This window comes from Homo sapiens, chromosome 14, assembly GCF_000001405.40.
Source record: "Homo sapiens chromosome 14, GRCh38.p14 Primary Assembly".
Taxonomy (NCBI): Eukaryota; Metazoa; Chordata; class Mammalia; order Primates; family Hominidae; genus Homo; species Homo sapiens.
In genome coordinates, this window is record NC_000014.9 from 75,673,476 (window position 1) to 75,691,284 (window position 17,809).

General features: G+C 39.1%; 1 protein-coding gene across 1 annotated transcript in view, besides 1 other annotated feature; it reads left to right on the forward strand.

Moving 5' to 3' along the window:
* The window catches only part of TTLL5 (tubulin tyrosine ligase like 5), a 293,834-nt gene that overhangs the window by 12,230 nt on the left and 263,795 nt on the right, over nt 1-17,809 (forward strand). The window contains exons 4-6 of the mRNA NM_015072.5: nt 8,070-8,152; nt 10,075-10,181; nt 16,717-16,847. Of these exons, the coding sequence (NP_055887.3) occupies nt 8,070-8,152; nt 10,075-10,181; nt 16,717-16,847 (321 nt within the window). The remainder of the gene's footprint in view (nt 1-8,069; nt 8,153-10,074; nt 10,182-16,716; nt 16,848-17,809) is intronic.
* Nucleotides 165-254: an enhancer, noted in NCBI's record as "active region_8762". NCBI's record gives its function as "activates an Ori minimal core promoter by ATAC-STARR-seq in GM12878 lymphoblastoid cells {active_cell/tissue: GM12878}" and the evidence as "EXISTENCE:reporter gene assay evidence [ECO:0000049][PMID:35858748]".

The following is a 17,809-nucleotide window of genomic DNA, read 5'->3' on the forward strand; positions in this document are numbered from 1 at the left end:
TGGTTCAAATCCCAGCTTTGGTATTTCTTAGCTGTGAGTCTTGGGCAAGTGACTTAGACTCTTTTAACCGGTTTCATTATTAGTAAAATCTTAACCAGTTTCATTATTAGTAAAATCATTAGTAAAATGGAGAGAATATGATATTGTGAGGATTACATGAGCTCATTTAATGTCCGACACATAGTAGGCGCTCAAAACTTGTGCTGCTTATTTTACTGATTGAATAAGATCTACTCTACTTGTAAATGACTTTTGTCTTGTCCCTTAATAAGTCAGGAGTTCAGAGGACTGTTAGCATTGCTTCTGGGATTTGAATCCTCCTTCCTCCCCAAGGATCCTTGTGTTCTAGTCACCTCAGCAAGTTGCCAAGTTACCATTTAAAGGGAAGTGGTTCATTCATGTTCTCTGAAGCCTGAGTAACTGAAGACCCCTTGCTGAGAAACTCCCTCTAAATATGATTTGAGCCAAAATGTTAAAGGTGGATAAAAACAAATATTCCCCCCAAACATACTTCTTTTGGTCTGCTTGTCACATAAAGTAATCGATGTATTCTATGGCAATAGGCGGACCCTTCTTTTTTAGAATACCTAACATTTATTGGAAAATAATATCCATCAATGTCATCTATTTAAGCAATTACTATTTTTTTAGGATCCATAAGTCTTTTTCTTTACACATTCCTGTGATTAAAGAAAAAGCCACCAAACTTTTCTCAAATTCTGTGTTTTTGAGTTTTCTGTATCTTTCCCAGTTCCTTGTGGCTTAATAATTTTCTTCACCTTCCTTAATGAAAAGAACAATTTGAATGACTTTTGGTAGTTGCTGCCTCAGTTTTCTGTATTGTTAAATACTCTCAATCTGCAACTTTTCTTTTTGGCTCTCTTAAATAGCTGACACAGATCTGTTCAGATCATAAGCCTGTGGTTAAATCCCCCTGAGAAGTGTATCTGGGGCAATAGTTACCTTCTGTTGATCTCATCGTGTTAGATGCCAAATTGGTTTTTTCTCTTTATGACATGTTTCATTGAATTCACTATTAATATTTTTGGTACAATATGATTTCTCGTGTTTTATTTGTGAAATATTCCAGGAATGTGGCTTTTCTTCATTATAACCTTGTTTTTTTCCCAAATTGTATGTACTTTAAATGTGTAAATGGGATTGTATTTTAGAGACAACATAGGTATTTTCAGCTTAAAGTAAACTTCTAGAATGAAGCATTTTTCTGTAATTTGTCCCTGAATGTGTTTATTTAGTAAGTTTGTATTTGTATATACTAGCAATAGATGTATGATGCAAGCTATATATGTGATTTGAAATTTTCTAGTAGGAAATTATTTTTAAAAGTAAAAGGAAACAGGTAGGTGAAATTAATTTTAATAATATATTTTATTTAACCCAATATATTCCAGAATATTATCATTTCCACATTTACTCAATATAAAAAAACCATTAATATTTTATATCTAGTATATATTTTAACATAACAGAGCATCTCAATTTGCAAAATTTTCATTGGAAATATTCGGTCTATATTTAGATTTTATAACTTTTATAGTTTAAAAAGTAAATTCATATACTCAATTGTTTCTTCCCCTCCCCACAGGCAAATTGTTTAAAATAGGATTTCCAGTAACTGAATCAAGTATTCATTCTTAAATTTAAATTAACTAAAGTTAAATAAGGACATTTCAAGTGCTTATTAGTCACACACATTCGACAGCACAAATATCCTAATCCTAATTCTAGGTAACCTAATTTTCTGATACTAGGGCACAGCTACACTATGTTGCCATTAAAGGAGTTATTTTTGTGTTCTACAAGTCAAAAATGTCAGCTTTATCTTTATCCTATTTCCCATGCTATTTTTGTTTAAACCCTTTAAGGCGTTTCATTGCTCTCTAGGTACTTCTCTGTGTTGACAGTTAGATTATTGGTTTGTTTTCATTTGCTCTGCTGTGGTCTGTCCTGGAACTTGCTAGGGGTCCTAGCACTTCAAGTTGCCTCTAGGGGCACATGTGAGTGGTTGGAGAAGAGGAAATTCTGTGGTCTCTTCTATGGTGGAATTGATGTGATGCATGTTAAGAGGCTTAGAAATAGGATATTTGGCAGTTTGCTAGTAGTCAAGGAGGACCATGCTCTGCCTCATGTTTTTATACAGAAGAAAACATGGGATGAGGTGGTTCTTTCTTAGGCAGTTGGGCAGCTTCAGTTTACAGTTGCAATCTTCCATTTGACTCTTGTCATGGGAGAGAAAGCCTAGGCATATTAGTCAGAGTTCTTGTTACGGGAGAGAAAGCCCAGGTACATATTAGTCAGGGTGTTCCAGAGAAATAGAACCAATAGGATACAAGGAGACAGGGAGGGGGAAGGGAGGAATGAATGTTGTTATAAGGTTATTGGTTTATGTAATTATGTAAGCTAAAAAGTCCCATTATCTACCATTTGCAAGTTGGAGACCCTGGGAAGTTGGTGGTCCAGTTTGAAAGCCTGTGAGCCAGAGAGCCAGTGGTATAGATTCCACTCTGAGTCTGAATTCCTGAGAACCAGGAGTGTCGAGGGCAGAGAAGGTCTGTGTCCCATCTCAACCAGTCAGGCAGAGAGAGAGCAAAACCAATCACCCTTTTGTTCTATTCTTGCCCTCAATGGATTAAATGATTCCCACCCACATTTGGGAGGGTAATCTGCTTTATTCATTCCCTATATTTAAATGCTCATCTCTTCTGGAGACATCCTCACAGACACCTATAAATGACATTTAACCAGGTATCTGGGCATCCTGTGGCCCAGTCAAGTTGACACATAAAAATAACCATCATTACCAGGTTTCTTAAGAGAAGCCTAGAAATCTATATTTTTATATGAATTTTTCCAATTTTCAATGGCTTAGCAACTAATTTAGTTTTATTTTGAAGCATCGTGAGTGACAGACCACATCTGCAGGCTAGGTCTGGTTCTTGGGTCACTAATTTGTAACCTCTAGTCTAAAATATACTACCCACCAGCCTTATTGCACACAGAGGGCTACCGGACACAGAGTATATATGAACTAAAAATCTCCAGCAGTGATGTTTGCATTCTGTCATTCCACCCTTCTTTTTTTGCACTACTCTTTTGGAACATGTTCAGTGTATCTGAGTTGGGTTATAGTTAGGTGATATGGATTAGAAGTGGCTTGTCACTGCTTACTATTTATGTATTGTAAGAATCAGATTTGCCACTGAGTGTGGTGGCAGTTGTATTTTTCTTTTATATTAGGAGGAGTAGGAGAAATAATATTGATAGCATTTTACTTTTTTTTTTTTTTTTTTCTGAAACAGGGTCTTGCTCTGTCACCCACGCTGAAGTGCAGTGGCATGATTACAACTCACTACTACAGCCTTGACCTCCTGGGCTCAAGCAACTCTCTTGCCTCAGCCTCCTGAGTAGCTTGGACTAGAGACATGTACCACCATGTCTGGCTAATTTTTAAATTTTTGTAGAGACAGGGTCTCCTATGTTGCTCAGGCTGGACTCAAATTTCTGGCCTCAAGCAGCCCTCCCATCTCGGCCTTCCAAAGTGCTGGGATTACAGGCATGAGCCACCACACCTGGCCCATTTTAATTTTTTAATTTGCTATATAAAATGTATAATTATGTACAGTGCATATACTAATGACTTTTATTATTTTTTTACTATATAAAAATAATTTATACTGTGTAGAATAATTGTTTCATAGCTTTACATGTATTAACTGATTTAGTGCTTACAGCTACTCTATGCAGTAACTACTGTTATTATCAACTCCATTTTACAGGTGAGGAAATTGATCATAGAGAAATTAAACAATTTATTGAAGGCTACAGGGAGGAAGTGGTAGAATCAGGGTTTGAACCCTAGTTTGATTCTAGAGATTCTCTTTCTCTCTCTCTCTCTTTTTTTTTTTTTTTTTTTTTTTGAGACAGGGTCTCACCCTGTCACTCAGGCTGGAGTGCAGTGGCCTGATCATGACTCACTGCAGCCTTAGCCTTTCAAGGCTCAGGTGATCCTCCTGCCTCAGCCTCCCAGGTAGCTGGGACTACAGGCGCACAGCACCATGCCTGGCTAAATTTTGTATTTTTAGTAGAGATGGGGTTTCACCATGTTTCCCAGGCTGGTTTCTCTCTCTCTCTTTTTTTAAGAGACAGGGTCTTGCTCTGCCACCTGGGCTGGAGTGCAATGGTGTGATCATAGCTCACTGTAACTTTGAACTCTTGGGCTCAAGCAGTCCTCTTACCTCAGCCTCCTGAGTAGCTAAGACTACAGGCGCCCACCCGTACACTTGGCTAATTAAAAAAAAAAATTTTTTTTTTTTTTGTTAGTGACGAGGTCTCGCTATGTTGCCCTGGCCGATCTTGAACTGCTGGTCTCAAGCAGCCCTCCAGCTCCAGCCTCCCATCGTACTGGGATTACAGGCATGAGCCACCATGCCCAGACTTGTTATTATTCCCCCTTGTCTCTTATTCCCCATGTAACTGTTCTCTATTTTCTCACACACCTTACTGATCACCTCCCCTGTGGCTGGGCAGTGAGGGGCAAGCACTGCAGAACATGCACAGAATTGGGTTCAGTCCTTATTTCTAGCAGTCACTGTGTAGCTGATGATGCTTTGACTTTTCATGTGCAAAAATGTTAGTGATCATGGTTATCATAATGAAAGGACCAGATATTTTTTCATTTTTGTACACATTTTATTTAGAAAAATTAAAAACCTTCAGACAAGTTACAAAAATAGTACAATGAACGCATATAGTCTTTCCCTGGAATCACCCATTACTTACATTTTGCCATATTTGCTTCTCTCTTTCTGAACCATTTGAGAATTAGTAAAATATTGCATGCCCTAATACATTATTCAGCTTGTGACTCCTGAGAATAAGGGCATATTCTATATAAGCACAATAATGTGTCACTGGCAAAATACTGTTATCTAATCCATAGATCTAATCTATGCAGATTTCCCCATTGTTCCAATTTAGTCTTCTATAGTGGTTTTTTGTTTTTCTATTCAGGATCCAATCAAATATTACATTTTGTTGTCATATTTCCTTAGTCTACTGTACAGCCATTTCCTAGACTTTTTTTTTGTCTTCCATGACATTGACATTTTTAAATATTCTAGACTGCTTGTTTTACAGATATCCTTAAATTTGATTGTTATCCATGTTTGATGGTTCCTACATGTTTAGATTCAGATTTTTAAAAATCTGCAGGAATATTGCTTAGTGAAACTGTATCCCCAGTGTATAACATTTGGGAGTATGTGATGCTATTATTTTGCAGTATTGGTGATGGCACATTTGATCATTTGGTTAAGACTGTGTTCACCAGATGGCTTCATTTTAAAGGTGCCTTTTCCCTTTGTTATAAGCATTCTCTGGTAAGATATTTTGAGATGTATGCGTGTCCTATTCCCTAATAGCCTCTCCCCATTGGTATCTACTGATTCTTGTTTGAATCACTTACTCTTATAGTTTTTGTAAAATGGTGATTTTTCATTTCTGTCTTTCCTTCTACATTTATTAGCTGGATTCTCTGTAAATAATAGCTTTCTCTTGTGTGGTAGGCAGAATAATGGTCCCTTAAAGATGTCTACCTTCTAATTTCCAGAATCTGTGAATATGTTATCTTACATGGCATAGGATGAATTAAGGTTTAGATGGAATTAAAGTTGCTAATCAACTGGCCTTAAGATAAGGAGATTATCCTGGACTATCCAAGTGGGCCCAATGTAATCACAAGAGTTTTTTAAAGTGGGAGAAGGAGGTAGAAGAGGCCAGAGTGTTGTGATGTGAAAAAGACTACATGCAACCATGGTTGACTTCAAAGATAGAGGAAGGGGACCATAAGCCATAAGCCAAGGAATGGAAAAGGGAAGGAAACAAATCCTACCCAGAGCCCACAGAAAGGAACACAGCTCTGCCAATTCCTTGGTTTTAGCCTGGTGAGACCTGTGTTCGACTTCTGATGTACAGAGCTGTAAGACAATAAATTTGCCTTACAACAACAAATGTGTTGTAATTTGTCACAGCAGCAAAAGAAAACCAATATTCCCTCTCGACTCCTTGTAAGTGTGGATACATGGATTCTTTTATAAGTACATTATAATCTATCTCTATCACTATTCATTTTTGCATTCAAATTGTCTTAAACTTGGCCCTCAAGAGCCCTTTTAAGCTCTTAGTGACATGTCCCTAATCAGTTTTTGAGTATTTCCCTTTTTTGACATTGCAAGATATTCTAAGCCTATTTTGTGATTCCCACACATGATTCTGCAGTGTTTCTTATGATGATACTGCAAAGACAAAGTAATAGTGACTGATCACTGGGATAACACTGTTACTTGGCTTTGAAAGTTTGCCCACAAGAATGAAAAGGACGAAGTGATTGACATTTTAAATGTTAATCCTCCTGTGTCTGCTTTGCATGGTGTTCCTGCCAGTGCTGAGTAAGTAGCAGCAGAGATTTATGAATATCTTCACATAAACTTGAAAGAGAAATTGTTGTCTTTGACTACAGAGGCTGAATATTGTTCTAGAGTCTGTCCATGAGTGTCTGTATCATTCAGAATTGTTCAATTCAGAAACTGTTCAATATGAAGTCCTCTAAAAAAATTCTTCAGCAGAATTCTTAGCTAACTTTTTCAGTTAGTAGTGGTGCATAGAAAGAGATTGAATTCAGTGGTCCAGAGTAAATACATTGAAATCTCACATGGTTTCAGACTTTCCGCTCCCATAGTGGTCACAAGCACAAACGCTTACTTGGCCCTGGCAGGAAATGTGATTGAGTGAGGCAGGCTGGATCCTGAGCTGAACTGAAGAGTGTGGCCTGTCCTGAATGGGGCAGGTGCAGTTCTCCAGCTGATTCTTGCCATTGGAGAGAAGAAAGCCCAGGTTTCCAGGTTTTTTTAAGAGACGTCTAGAAATCTAGAGTTGTATACGAATTCTTTCCATTTCAGAAGCTAAGCAATGAATTCAATTTCATTTTTAGAGCACCATGAGAAACAAACCAACCATGTCTGCAGGCTGGATTTCATCCTTGGGCTACCAGTTTCTAACCTCTGGTCTAAGATGTACTGGTAATCAGCATTATAGGATACAGAGGGCTATCTAGAGCAGGGATTTTTTTTTTTTTTTTTTTTTTTTGAGATGAAGTCTTGCTCTTGTCCCCCAGGCTGGAGTGCAGTGGCATGATCTCGGCGCTCACTGCAACATCCACCTCCCGGGTTCAAGTGATTCTCCTGCCTCAGCCTCCCGAGTAGGTGGGATTACAGGTGCGTACCACCACACCCAGCTAATTTTTTGTATTTTTAAGTAGAGATGGGGTTTCACAATGTTGGCCAGGCTGGTCTCGAATTCCTGACCTCAGGTGATCCGCCCACCTTGGCCTCCCAAAGTGCTGGAGTTACAGGCGTGAGCCACCATGCCCAGCCTAGAGCAGGGGTTTTTAACCTTTTTGGTACAATAGATCCCTTTGGCAGTCTGGAGAAGCCCATGGGCCTCTTCGCAGAAGAGTGTTTTAAAATAGATTTTTAAAAAGTACGTAATTACAAAGGAAATACATTGTATTGAAATATAGTAATCAGAATATTTTTTAAGAAATTGTGACATGTGCTTTTTTATTAGTGTATTAAATAACAATCTAGTGAAGGTCTATTAACTACTATAATCTTTAAATACTATGAGAATAATTGATATTTTGAGATATACTGTAAAATAATATTAAAAATATCTGATGTCTGTTAGTGGCAGGGTCACAGATAATGTTAATACTGCCTGTTTTGTTACTTAAAATCTTAATTGAAGCCATTGTTAAATTTCAACTAGAAACTAGTGAAAACCAAGGTGTAATTTTTCCCCCATCTATGTCTAATGACCTCCAAAGAGTCTCATTTTAAGAACTCATGGTCCAAAATACGTTCAACTTATTTATAATCATTTTAATGGTAGCATGTAATGTTATTGAGTATAATTAAGCCACCATGTTACAGTTTATTTTTGTTTTTACAGTTAACTTTCTAGTTACTGAACTTGATTCTGTTTTTCTTTAGAACGTTATCATTTGTCTTATAAGATTGTACGAACGGACAGTCGCCTAGTACGCAGCATTCTGACAGCCCATGGATTTCATGAAGTAAGTTTATTTTTAATACCTCACCTGATCTGCTCATAAGCTGAAAATCCCAGCCACCTAACTGACTTTACCAGTTAACAGGGCCAGCTCCAGGAAGTACATGGGACCAATGCTTAGTGGTGGTCCAGAACTCAGATTGAATTTTGGAGTGGCTTTACCAGTTTCTGCTTGCAATACATGGAAAACGTTTCCAGATGATTTTAGAAAAAAATTTTTTCTTGCTACGTTCTTGGGCTTGGGCTAGGGGCACCGTTGCCCATAAGGAATTGTCTGACACCCAATTAAGGTTCTTTGATTGCAGGCAACTGAACAGACTTTGCTTAACTTGAAATGGCAGGTGGATCCCAAGGTCAGGAGATCGAGACCATCCTGGCCAACATGGTGAAACCCCGTCTCTACTAAAAATACAAAAATTGGCTGGGTGTGGTGGTGTGCAACTGTAGTCCCAGCTACTCAGGAGCCCGAGGCAGGAGAATCGCTTGAACTTGGGAGGTGGAGGTTGTAGTGAGCCGAGATCACACCACTGCACTCCAGCCTGGGTGACAGAGTGAGACTCCGTCTCAAAAAAAAAAAAAAAAACAAACCCAAAAGGGATTTGTCAGAATGATGTGCAGAGGGGACTAGCAGAATCAGAGAAAAAGCTGAAAAGGCAGGCCTTTGGAAGGAGAGAGACCAGGACAAGCCCCAAGGATATAGGAACAGGAGTCTTCAGCACAGCCAGGGAAGGTCCCCGAGTGAAGGTCAGATGGGGAGAGGCCTGCATGGCTGGCACCGAGGAGGAACAGGAGTGTTCAGGATCATTTTCTCAAGGCACTGCCATGGGCGTGACTGGACTCCATTCATTGTCCTTTTGTCTTTCCTTGCTCAAAAATCACATTCTGGAGATAGAATGATTGGCCTAGCTTGGGTTTGGATCCACTCCTTGCAGGAGGGGATGGGTGGGTGATTGACAGGTTCTTGAAAACCATGGAGTAAGTCATTCTCCAAAGAAAGTTGGAAGATTGGAATGTAAACATCAAAAAGGACAGGCAAAAAGGCTGAACAGACACTTCCACTATAGACACTTTGTGACAGTTGATAAAAGTCTGGTTCCTAGCTTGAGATTTGTAAGAGACATTTTGAGGAAGTTTTTTTTTTTTTTTAATTTTTTATTTTTAGAGATGGAGTCTCACTGAGTTACCCAGGCAGGAGAACAGTGGCATGATCATAGTTCACTGTAGGCTTGAACTCCTGGGCTCAAGTGATTCTCCTGCCTCAGCCTCCCAAGTAGTTGGTACTACAGGTGCATGGCACCACTCCTGGCTAATTAAAAAAAAAATTTTTTTTATAGAGACAGGGTCTTAATATGTTGCTAGGATAGTCTCAAACTCCTGAGCTCAAGCGCTCCTCCCGCCTCGGCCTCCCAAAGTGCTGAGATTACAGGCATGAGCCACCGCACTTGTCCGTGAGGGAAGTTCTGATACCAGTTTGTATCCTGTCTTGTTGCTGTTTTATTTCTGGCACTTAACATGGCGCCTTATTGTTGAATTAATGGACAAAAGAATTTTAATGGATGAATGGGTGAATTCTAAGTCGGTTTGCTACTATAAGGTTTATCTCTGATCAGCACTTCATACTCAGTTTCTGCAAGGATAAGGAAAGCCTGAGAAAGAAATGCAAGAATATTAAGAGACATCATGGGTTTCTATAGAAGGGTTAATTTATTTTAGTTTCTGCATCGGGGATTTGCCCAACCCTCCCATTCCTTGAACTTGTTCTGTGATACACTGCTTTTGTCTCACTAGGCTCACGTACTAATTGGGCCACCCCGGTGAGTACACTGTGGATGAAAAAATCACTGTGGCTTTTTCTGCCATTGCTTTTCCTGGAGAAGGGGTATCTCTGATGTTTTTTTGCCTTCTTGTCTTTCTGTCTGCCCTCAGGTTCACCCAAGCAGCACTGACTATAACCTAATGTGGACAGGATCCCACCTGAAGCCCTTCTTACTGCGCACCCTCTCTGAAGCACAAAAAGTTAATCACTTTCCCAGGTAATGCTCTTTGTAGCTGCTTTGCTTCATTTAAAGGTACATGACATTGGGGCATGTAGCCAGCAAAGGTAATTAGTGTCCTTAAAGAAGAGGAAGATGAAAATGAAGAAGAAGAAGGACTTTTTTTTTTTTTTTTGAGATGAGTATCGCTCTGTCACCCAGGCTGGAGTGCAGTGGCATGATCTTGGCTCACTGCAACCTCTGCCTCCTGAGTTCAAGCAATTCTCCTGCCTCAGCCTACCCAGTAGCTGGGAATACAAGCTTGCACCACCATGCCCGGCTAATTTTTGTATCTTTGGGAGAGACGAGGTTTCGCCATGTAGGCCAGGCTGGTCTCAAACTCCTGACCTCAATTGATCTGCCTGCCTTGGCCTCCCAAAGTGCTGGGATTACAGACATGAGCCACCACGCCCGGCCAGAAGAAGAAATTTTTCTGGTACGGAACAGCACTCTGCAAATCAAACTGTTGTGTTCATATCCCTGAGCATGAATGAACACTTTCTAAGGGCTATATAGACATGGATGGTTTTAAAGGAGATAGTTTCTGGTTCTCTTTCCTAAAGTTGAGCTGCTTGGGAGTACCTCATGAGGATGGGTTTGCCTTTCTTACTTCCCCTTCACAGTTACTGTTTTTTCACTTTTATTAAAGAATGGCTCACCTAGAATCTTAGTCTGGTATATTGTCCTTAGGTGTAGAAATTTTCAGGGTTCCAAAGAAAGGTAGAAAAAAATTAGTGTCTAATTTAATTCTAGTAATAGCATAACAAATCCTTTTTGCATGATGGTAGTTTCTATTTCTTTGTTTTTAAAATAATTGAAGGATGATATAATCTAGCTATTAGCTGATCATTAAACATAATTTTGATGACAGATCATTTTATAATTTTTTGATGTGTAATTAGGAAGGAGTTCACAGAGTTGAGCGTCATTGGTGTTTGGATGAATTGTATACTACAATACTTGCAATGATAATCAGTCATGTATATATAAACAGTTATAGCCTTACGGTCACAGGGAATTAAAAATATATGCCAATTCCTATGTATAATTTTGCTGTACAGAAGGTATGATATGATGTAAAAGACAAGTATTAAATACGTTAGGCTAACCTGTTGTTTGTGGGAAATGAAAGAATTAAAAACAAGAGTGACTGGGGGATAGTGTCTGTGTGGCAGTCTGAGGGAGGCTTTTCTGGCATGCTGGGAATGTTCTATACAGAACTTGAGTGGTGGCTACACAGTTGTGTTCACTTTGTAAAAATTCATTATGCCCTGCCGTGTTCTTTGTATACTTTTCTGTACATACGTTAACTTCATTAAAAAGCATATTTTAAAAAGTGAAAATTTTACTGACAGAGCTTTTCCTTTAATAACATTTTAAAAATGAGGTATTGAATCTTGATGTTGTTTAGGTTCCCTTCAATATACTTAAAAGTGTGGTGTTGGCTAGGTGCAGCGGCTCATGTCTGTGATCCCAGCACTTTGGGAGGCCAAGGCAGACAGATCGCTTGAGCCCCAGGAGTTGGAGACCACCCTGGGCAACATGGCAAAACCCCGGCTCTAAAAAAAACAAAAAATTTAGCTGGGCATGGTGGCATGTGCCTAGCAACTTGCGATGCTGAGGTGGGAGGATCACCTGAGTTTGGGGTGGTCAGGGCTTCAGTGAGCTATGATTGTGCCACTGCACTCCAGCCTGGGTAACACAGAGAGACTCTGTCTCAAAAAAAAAAAAAAAAAAAGGGTGGTGTTATGATTTTGTCTTAATGTAATATTTACCATTCATCATATTCTTTGGAACAATTTAAATTTATGATGAAAAATCTTACATGCTAGCTTAAACATGCAAGAGGATATATAGTTTCCCCAAATTATTCTAGGATGTACCAAGCAAAGAAGTTTGAAAACCACTGATGTGGGGCATCTGTAGGAGAGTGCATTCTTTTTCTTAGCCTCTGGTTCAGTGTTTGTAATTCCCTAATGATAAGAATTACCTAGGGTACTTTTGCAAAATATGCATTCTCAGGTCCCATTGCAGATTCATGGAAGTTACCATCTCTAGAGAAGGTGTATATTTGAGCACTTTCCTAGTTACCTTACCTTTCCAGGTAAATATGTACCTAGAAAGCTATATATTTAAAAAGCATTGAGGTAATTTGTAACAGGGAAGTTTGGAAATTACTGTTGTAGATTACATCAGCAGTTAGTGTGGGTCCTGGACCATCTGTATCAGAATCTTCTGGGGTACTTGTTTAAAATGCAGAATCCTGGGCTTCATCCCAGAATTTTGAGAGGTGAGACCCAGGAACATGCATTTTTTAGGAAGTTCTCTAGGTGATTCTTACATACACTAAAAATTGAGTACCTCTGCTCTGGATTTCAGAAGAGGGCCGTAGATAAGAAAGAAATGTTTGTGGTACCTAGATTTGCCAAAGCAGTTTCTGAACTCATAGAAAGAAATTTGAACTGTGGAACAGGTTGAGTAAGTTTTTAATGATTACCACAAAGGTTCTTAGTTGGTTTTGAAGGAGTGGAACAAATCATAGATCAATGAGTCCAGTCGAGGCTAACCAAGGTGCCTTTTTGGAGTACTGTACACAAGAATGTACCCCTGATATAATAGTAATTATTACCCTGGTTTTAAGGTGCTAATTGCCCCGATTTTCTTTATAACTTTGCCTCTTCTATATCCATCTCTCAATGATGTAGTTAAGTTCTCAACGGGGTTCCTAACCTGGGTCTTTACTGTAATAGGATCATTATACTCTAAAATTAAGGCCTGTCTTGGGTCCCATCTGGAAGGGTCATTTCAGGCCCGTGGTGCTAGTGATGATAAGAGTTCCACATAGTTACATGAGAGGTTGGGCAGTTATTGCTATGGCAATACATTTATAAACGTGGATTAGATAACCATGTGTTTGATTTTCCTGGACAGTCCTTTTTAAAAATATGCTAAATGCTTTTCCCCCTAAAACCAAATTAAGATAACATCTCAGAAATTCTGATGTTTTAGTAGCTAATCTTTCTCAATTTACATTCTACTTAGAATTAACTCAGAATTTTTTTTTTGCCATGCTATGTTTCTCAGAAGGTCACATCTGTAGATACCTGTGGTATAAAAACTTCCAGAATGCTTTGGTTTGGGAGCTTGCTTTTAGTTGGAGTACTGGTGTTTTTTTCACTATCTGAGTAATCCAGATGATTTTATGCTATTAGAGAATCATGATTCCATTAAAGTAAAACACACAGGGGTCCTAAAATATTTTATAATGATTTATAATAGTGAATAGCACAGACTCTGTTGAAGGTTTTGAAGCTAGAATTTCTTTCACAGGTTCGGTTTTTATAACCTGAAATTTTGGGTATATTTATCAACAGTCAAACTTTTTTGTTGTTGTTTACTTATATTTGAAATCTGTTTTAGAATAGATTTTTATACCTGTGAATCAATTTTTAAAAACCCATTTGAAATAAGGGTCATAGACCTAAAAATAAAACATAAACTGTAAAACTTATAGAAGAAAACATAGACAAGATCTTTGCAACCTTGTGTTAGACAAAGGATTCCTAGATGCAACAATAGAAGCACAGTCATAAAAGGAAAAAATTGATAAATTTGACCTTTTTGGTTTTTTTGTGGGGGGACAGTTTCGCTCTGTCACCCAGTCTGGAGTACAGTGGTGTGATCTTGGTTCACTGCAACCTCTGCCTCCTGGGTTCAAGCGATTCTCCTGCCTCAGCCTCCCGAGTAGCTGGGACTACAGGCATGCACTACGGCTGGCTGATTTTTTTTGTAGTTTTAGTAGAGACGGGGTTTCATCGTGTTGGTCAGGCTGGTCTCGAACTCCTGACCTCAAATGATCCACCTGCCTCAGCCTCCCAAAGTGCTGGGATTACAGGCGTGAGCCACCATGCCTCACCTAAATTTGACCTTTTAAAAATTAAAAATATCTGCTCTTTGAAAGACACTGTTAAGAAAATGAAAAAACAAGCTATGGACTGGAGAAAATATTTGCAAAACACATAACTGATAAAGAATTTGTGTCCAGAATATATAACAAACTCTTAAAACTCAACCATAAGGAAACAAACAACTTTATTTTTCAAAGTGGGTAAAATATCTGAATGGATGCCTCACCAAAGAAGATACAGGGATGGCAAATAAAAGAGGCTCGTGAAAAGATGCTCAATAGCATTAGTAATTAATGGAATACAAATTAAAACTATACAAAGTATCAGTATACCCGTTAGAATGGCTAAAAACAAAAGCCAGAAAACACCAAGTGTGGGCCAGGATGCATGGCAACTGGAACACTTTTGCTGGCGGGAATGCAGAGTGGTATAGCCACTCTGGATAACTGTGATCTTGTGAAATATGTAGTTAGTCTTCCTCGTGTTTCCTGACATATAACTCCTTGGCTCCTTGGAATCTCCAGAGTGAGAAGTGTCCTTTTATATACTAATGACTTAACTGGTGCCTGGCAGTCCCTAGGTAGCTTCCGGATGGGGATTGGTTACAAGAAAAGACCAAGGCATGATTAGAGGGTTATAACTTCCAGCCCACCCCTCAGCCTCCAGGAAGGGAAGAGGGGCTGAAAGTTAAATTAGTCACCAGTGTCCAATCAATTATGCCTGTGTAATGAAGCTTCCATAAAAACCCAAAAGGACTGGGTTTGGAGAGCTTCTGGGTAACAGAATACATGGAGATTCTTGGCCAGTAGTGTGCCTGGAGATCGCATAGAGGTTCTGTGCCTCCTTTCTCATACCTCGCCCTGTGCATGTCTTCCTCTATATCCTTTGTAATATCCTTTTTAATAAACCAGTAAACATAAATGTTTCTCTGAGTTCTGTGAGCTGCTCTAACAAATTAATTGATCCCAAGGAGGGAGTCGTAGGGATGCCTATTTATAGCCAGGTGGTTAGAAGCACAGGTAAAACAACTTGGGGCTTGCTATTGGCATTGGAAGTGGGAGGCAGTCTTGTGGGACTGAGCCTTCAACTTATGGGAACTGACACTATCTCGAGGTAGGTAGGGTCAAATTTGAGTTGAATTAGAGGACACCCACTGCAAGATTGCTTGCTTTGTGTGTGGGGAAACACACATTTGGTGTCTAAAGTGTTGAGTGATTATGTTGAATTGAGAGTAGAGAGTAGGAAAAACACTTTGGTTTTTCCTCAATATCTCAGAATATAGCAGGAGAAACGGAGCTTGTTTTCCTCAGAATAACCATTTGGCAGTTCATTATAAAGTTTAACATATGTGGTGATTGTAAAATGTGTCCATAAATTCTTTGACATTGTTTTCAAAAGGTTTAACTTAATTTTTCTGTTCTTGAGTGTTGACTGGATTTAGTGACTTGCCTCTAACTAGTGGAATATGACAGAAGTGATTATCGCTTCTGAGACTAGATTGTAAAAGACATTACAGCTTCTTGCTCACTTTCTTGGATCACTTGATCTGGGAGAAACCAGTTGTCACGTCATGAAGGCACTTGGCCTTATGAAAAAGTTCATGTGGGGAGGAACTGAGGCCTCCTGCCAGCAGGCAGCCCCATGTGAGTGATGAGCCATCTGGAAGTTGGGTTTTCCATCCTCTCTTGAGCCTGATGACTGCAGTGCTGGCCAGTATCTTGACTGTAACCTCATAAAGGACCTTGGGACAGAACCACCTAGCTCTCTCACTCCCACATTCCTGGCCCCAGAAACTATGAGGTCATAAATATATACTGTTATTTTAAGCTGCTGTGTTTTAGGGTAATTTGTTGTACAGCAATAAATAACTAAAACAACTTACTGAACAACCAAGCAGTCCCACTTCTAGAGAAATAAAAACTTACGTTTACAGTAAAACTTACAAAAACGTACATTCATATAAAAATCTATATGGAAATGCTTTATAGCAACTTTATTCATAATCTCCAAAAATTAAACAATCCAAATGCCTTCAACTGGTGAATGGATAACCATGGTACATCTATACAGTGGATTACTACTGAGCAAGAAAAGGGACAGAATACTGATACATGCAACAATGATACATTTCAAATGAGTTGTGCTCAGTGAAAGAAGCTAGTCTCAAAAGGATACACACTGTCTGATTCCACTTATTTGACTTTCTGGAAAAGGCAAAATTATAAGGACAGAAAACAAATGAATGTTTTCCCAGGGGCTGGAGGTGATTGGGAGGGTCCACTACAGGGGGACTTGAGGTAACTTTTTGGGATGTTGAAACTGTTGTTTATCTTGATTGTGGTGGTGGTTACATAATTGTATGTGTTTGTCCAAACTCATAGAATTACACATTAAAAAGGGCAAATTTTACTGTATGGAGATTTTATCTTAATGAAAAAATCTGACCAAAAAACCCATTTGATAAAAATGATTAATAAGCCTTTTGGATTAACAGCGATATGTTTAGGATACAATACTATCTTCACTAACCGGTCTAGGACTGTGAACTGTAACTCTTTAGAATGTGATAACACAGGAAAATTCTGAGTCATAGTTTACTGAATGGAAATACTTTTTTGATTTTTCAGGTCTTATGAACTTACCCGGAAGGACCGACTGTACAAAAACATTATTCGAATGCAGCATACACATGGATTCAAGGCTTTTCACATCCTCCCCCAGACCTTCCTCCTGCCAGCTGAGTACGCGGAATTTTGTAGTAAGTGCTTGACAGAGAATGCCCCAGTCCCCAGCAACTGAACCTGGGGAATATTTACCCCAAAAGCCTCCTCAAGGTGTCAACCAATCAGGGCTTTCCAAATCCTTAGACAACTGTGACTCTTTAGTAAAACAGTTGCAGAGGTAACTTTAAAAACTATTTTTATTCTGATATGTTCAGTAAACTTGTCAGTATCATTTATGTAAGGGCACACTGGCATCATATAAGCATGCCCCTGTCTTATGTATTTTTTGCTTGAATGTCCCTTCTCTCCATTGATGACTTAGTGCCTATGTAAGTATTATTTTTTTTTTTTTAAGAGACAGAGCCTCCCTCTGTAGCCCAGAACCACAGTGGCACGATCATGGCTCACTGCACCCTCTGCTTCATGGGCTCAAGTGATCCTTCCTCCTCAACCTCCCAAGTAGCTGGGAATACAGGCATGCACCATTAGGCTCAGCTAATTTTTTAATTTTTTGTAGAGATGGGATCTCGCTCTGTTGCCTGGGCTGGTCTTGAACACCTGGGCTCAAAGGATCCTCCACTCTTGGCTTCGCAAAATTCTGAGATGACAGGCATGATCCACCACACCCGGCCTGTAAGGATACTTTATATTCCTGCATGTGAATTATACATGCTTCCTTTTCGGTATCCCTTTTTCGCTTGCCATTTAAGAACATTCTTTCAGCCTTGATTTCTTGTCTTCTGTAATTTATGTTCTTTGAGGGTAGAGATATCGCATATCTTTGGATGTTAGGGTTTGGAGCTACAAGTTAGTCACATTCTCTCCCCTTTGAGTTCAGACTAATAAAAAAAAATACACGTAGGAGCCAAATAGGCACCTAAGTGTCAGCTGTATGGCTGGTAAAGTGACACAGAAACACATGGCCTGGATCCAGATCTAAAATGGGCTTCTTATTTATTTTGCATCATTGTGAACTTACCCACCCAGGCCAGGCAGA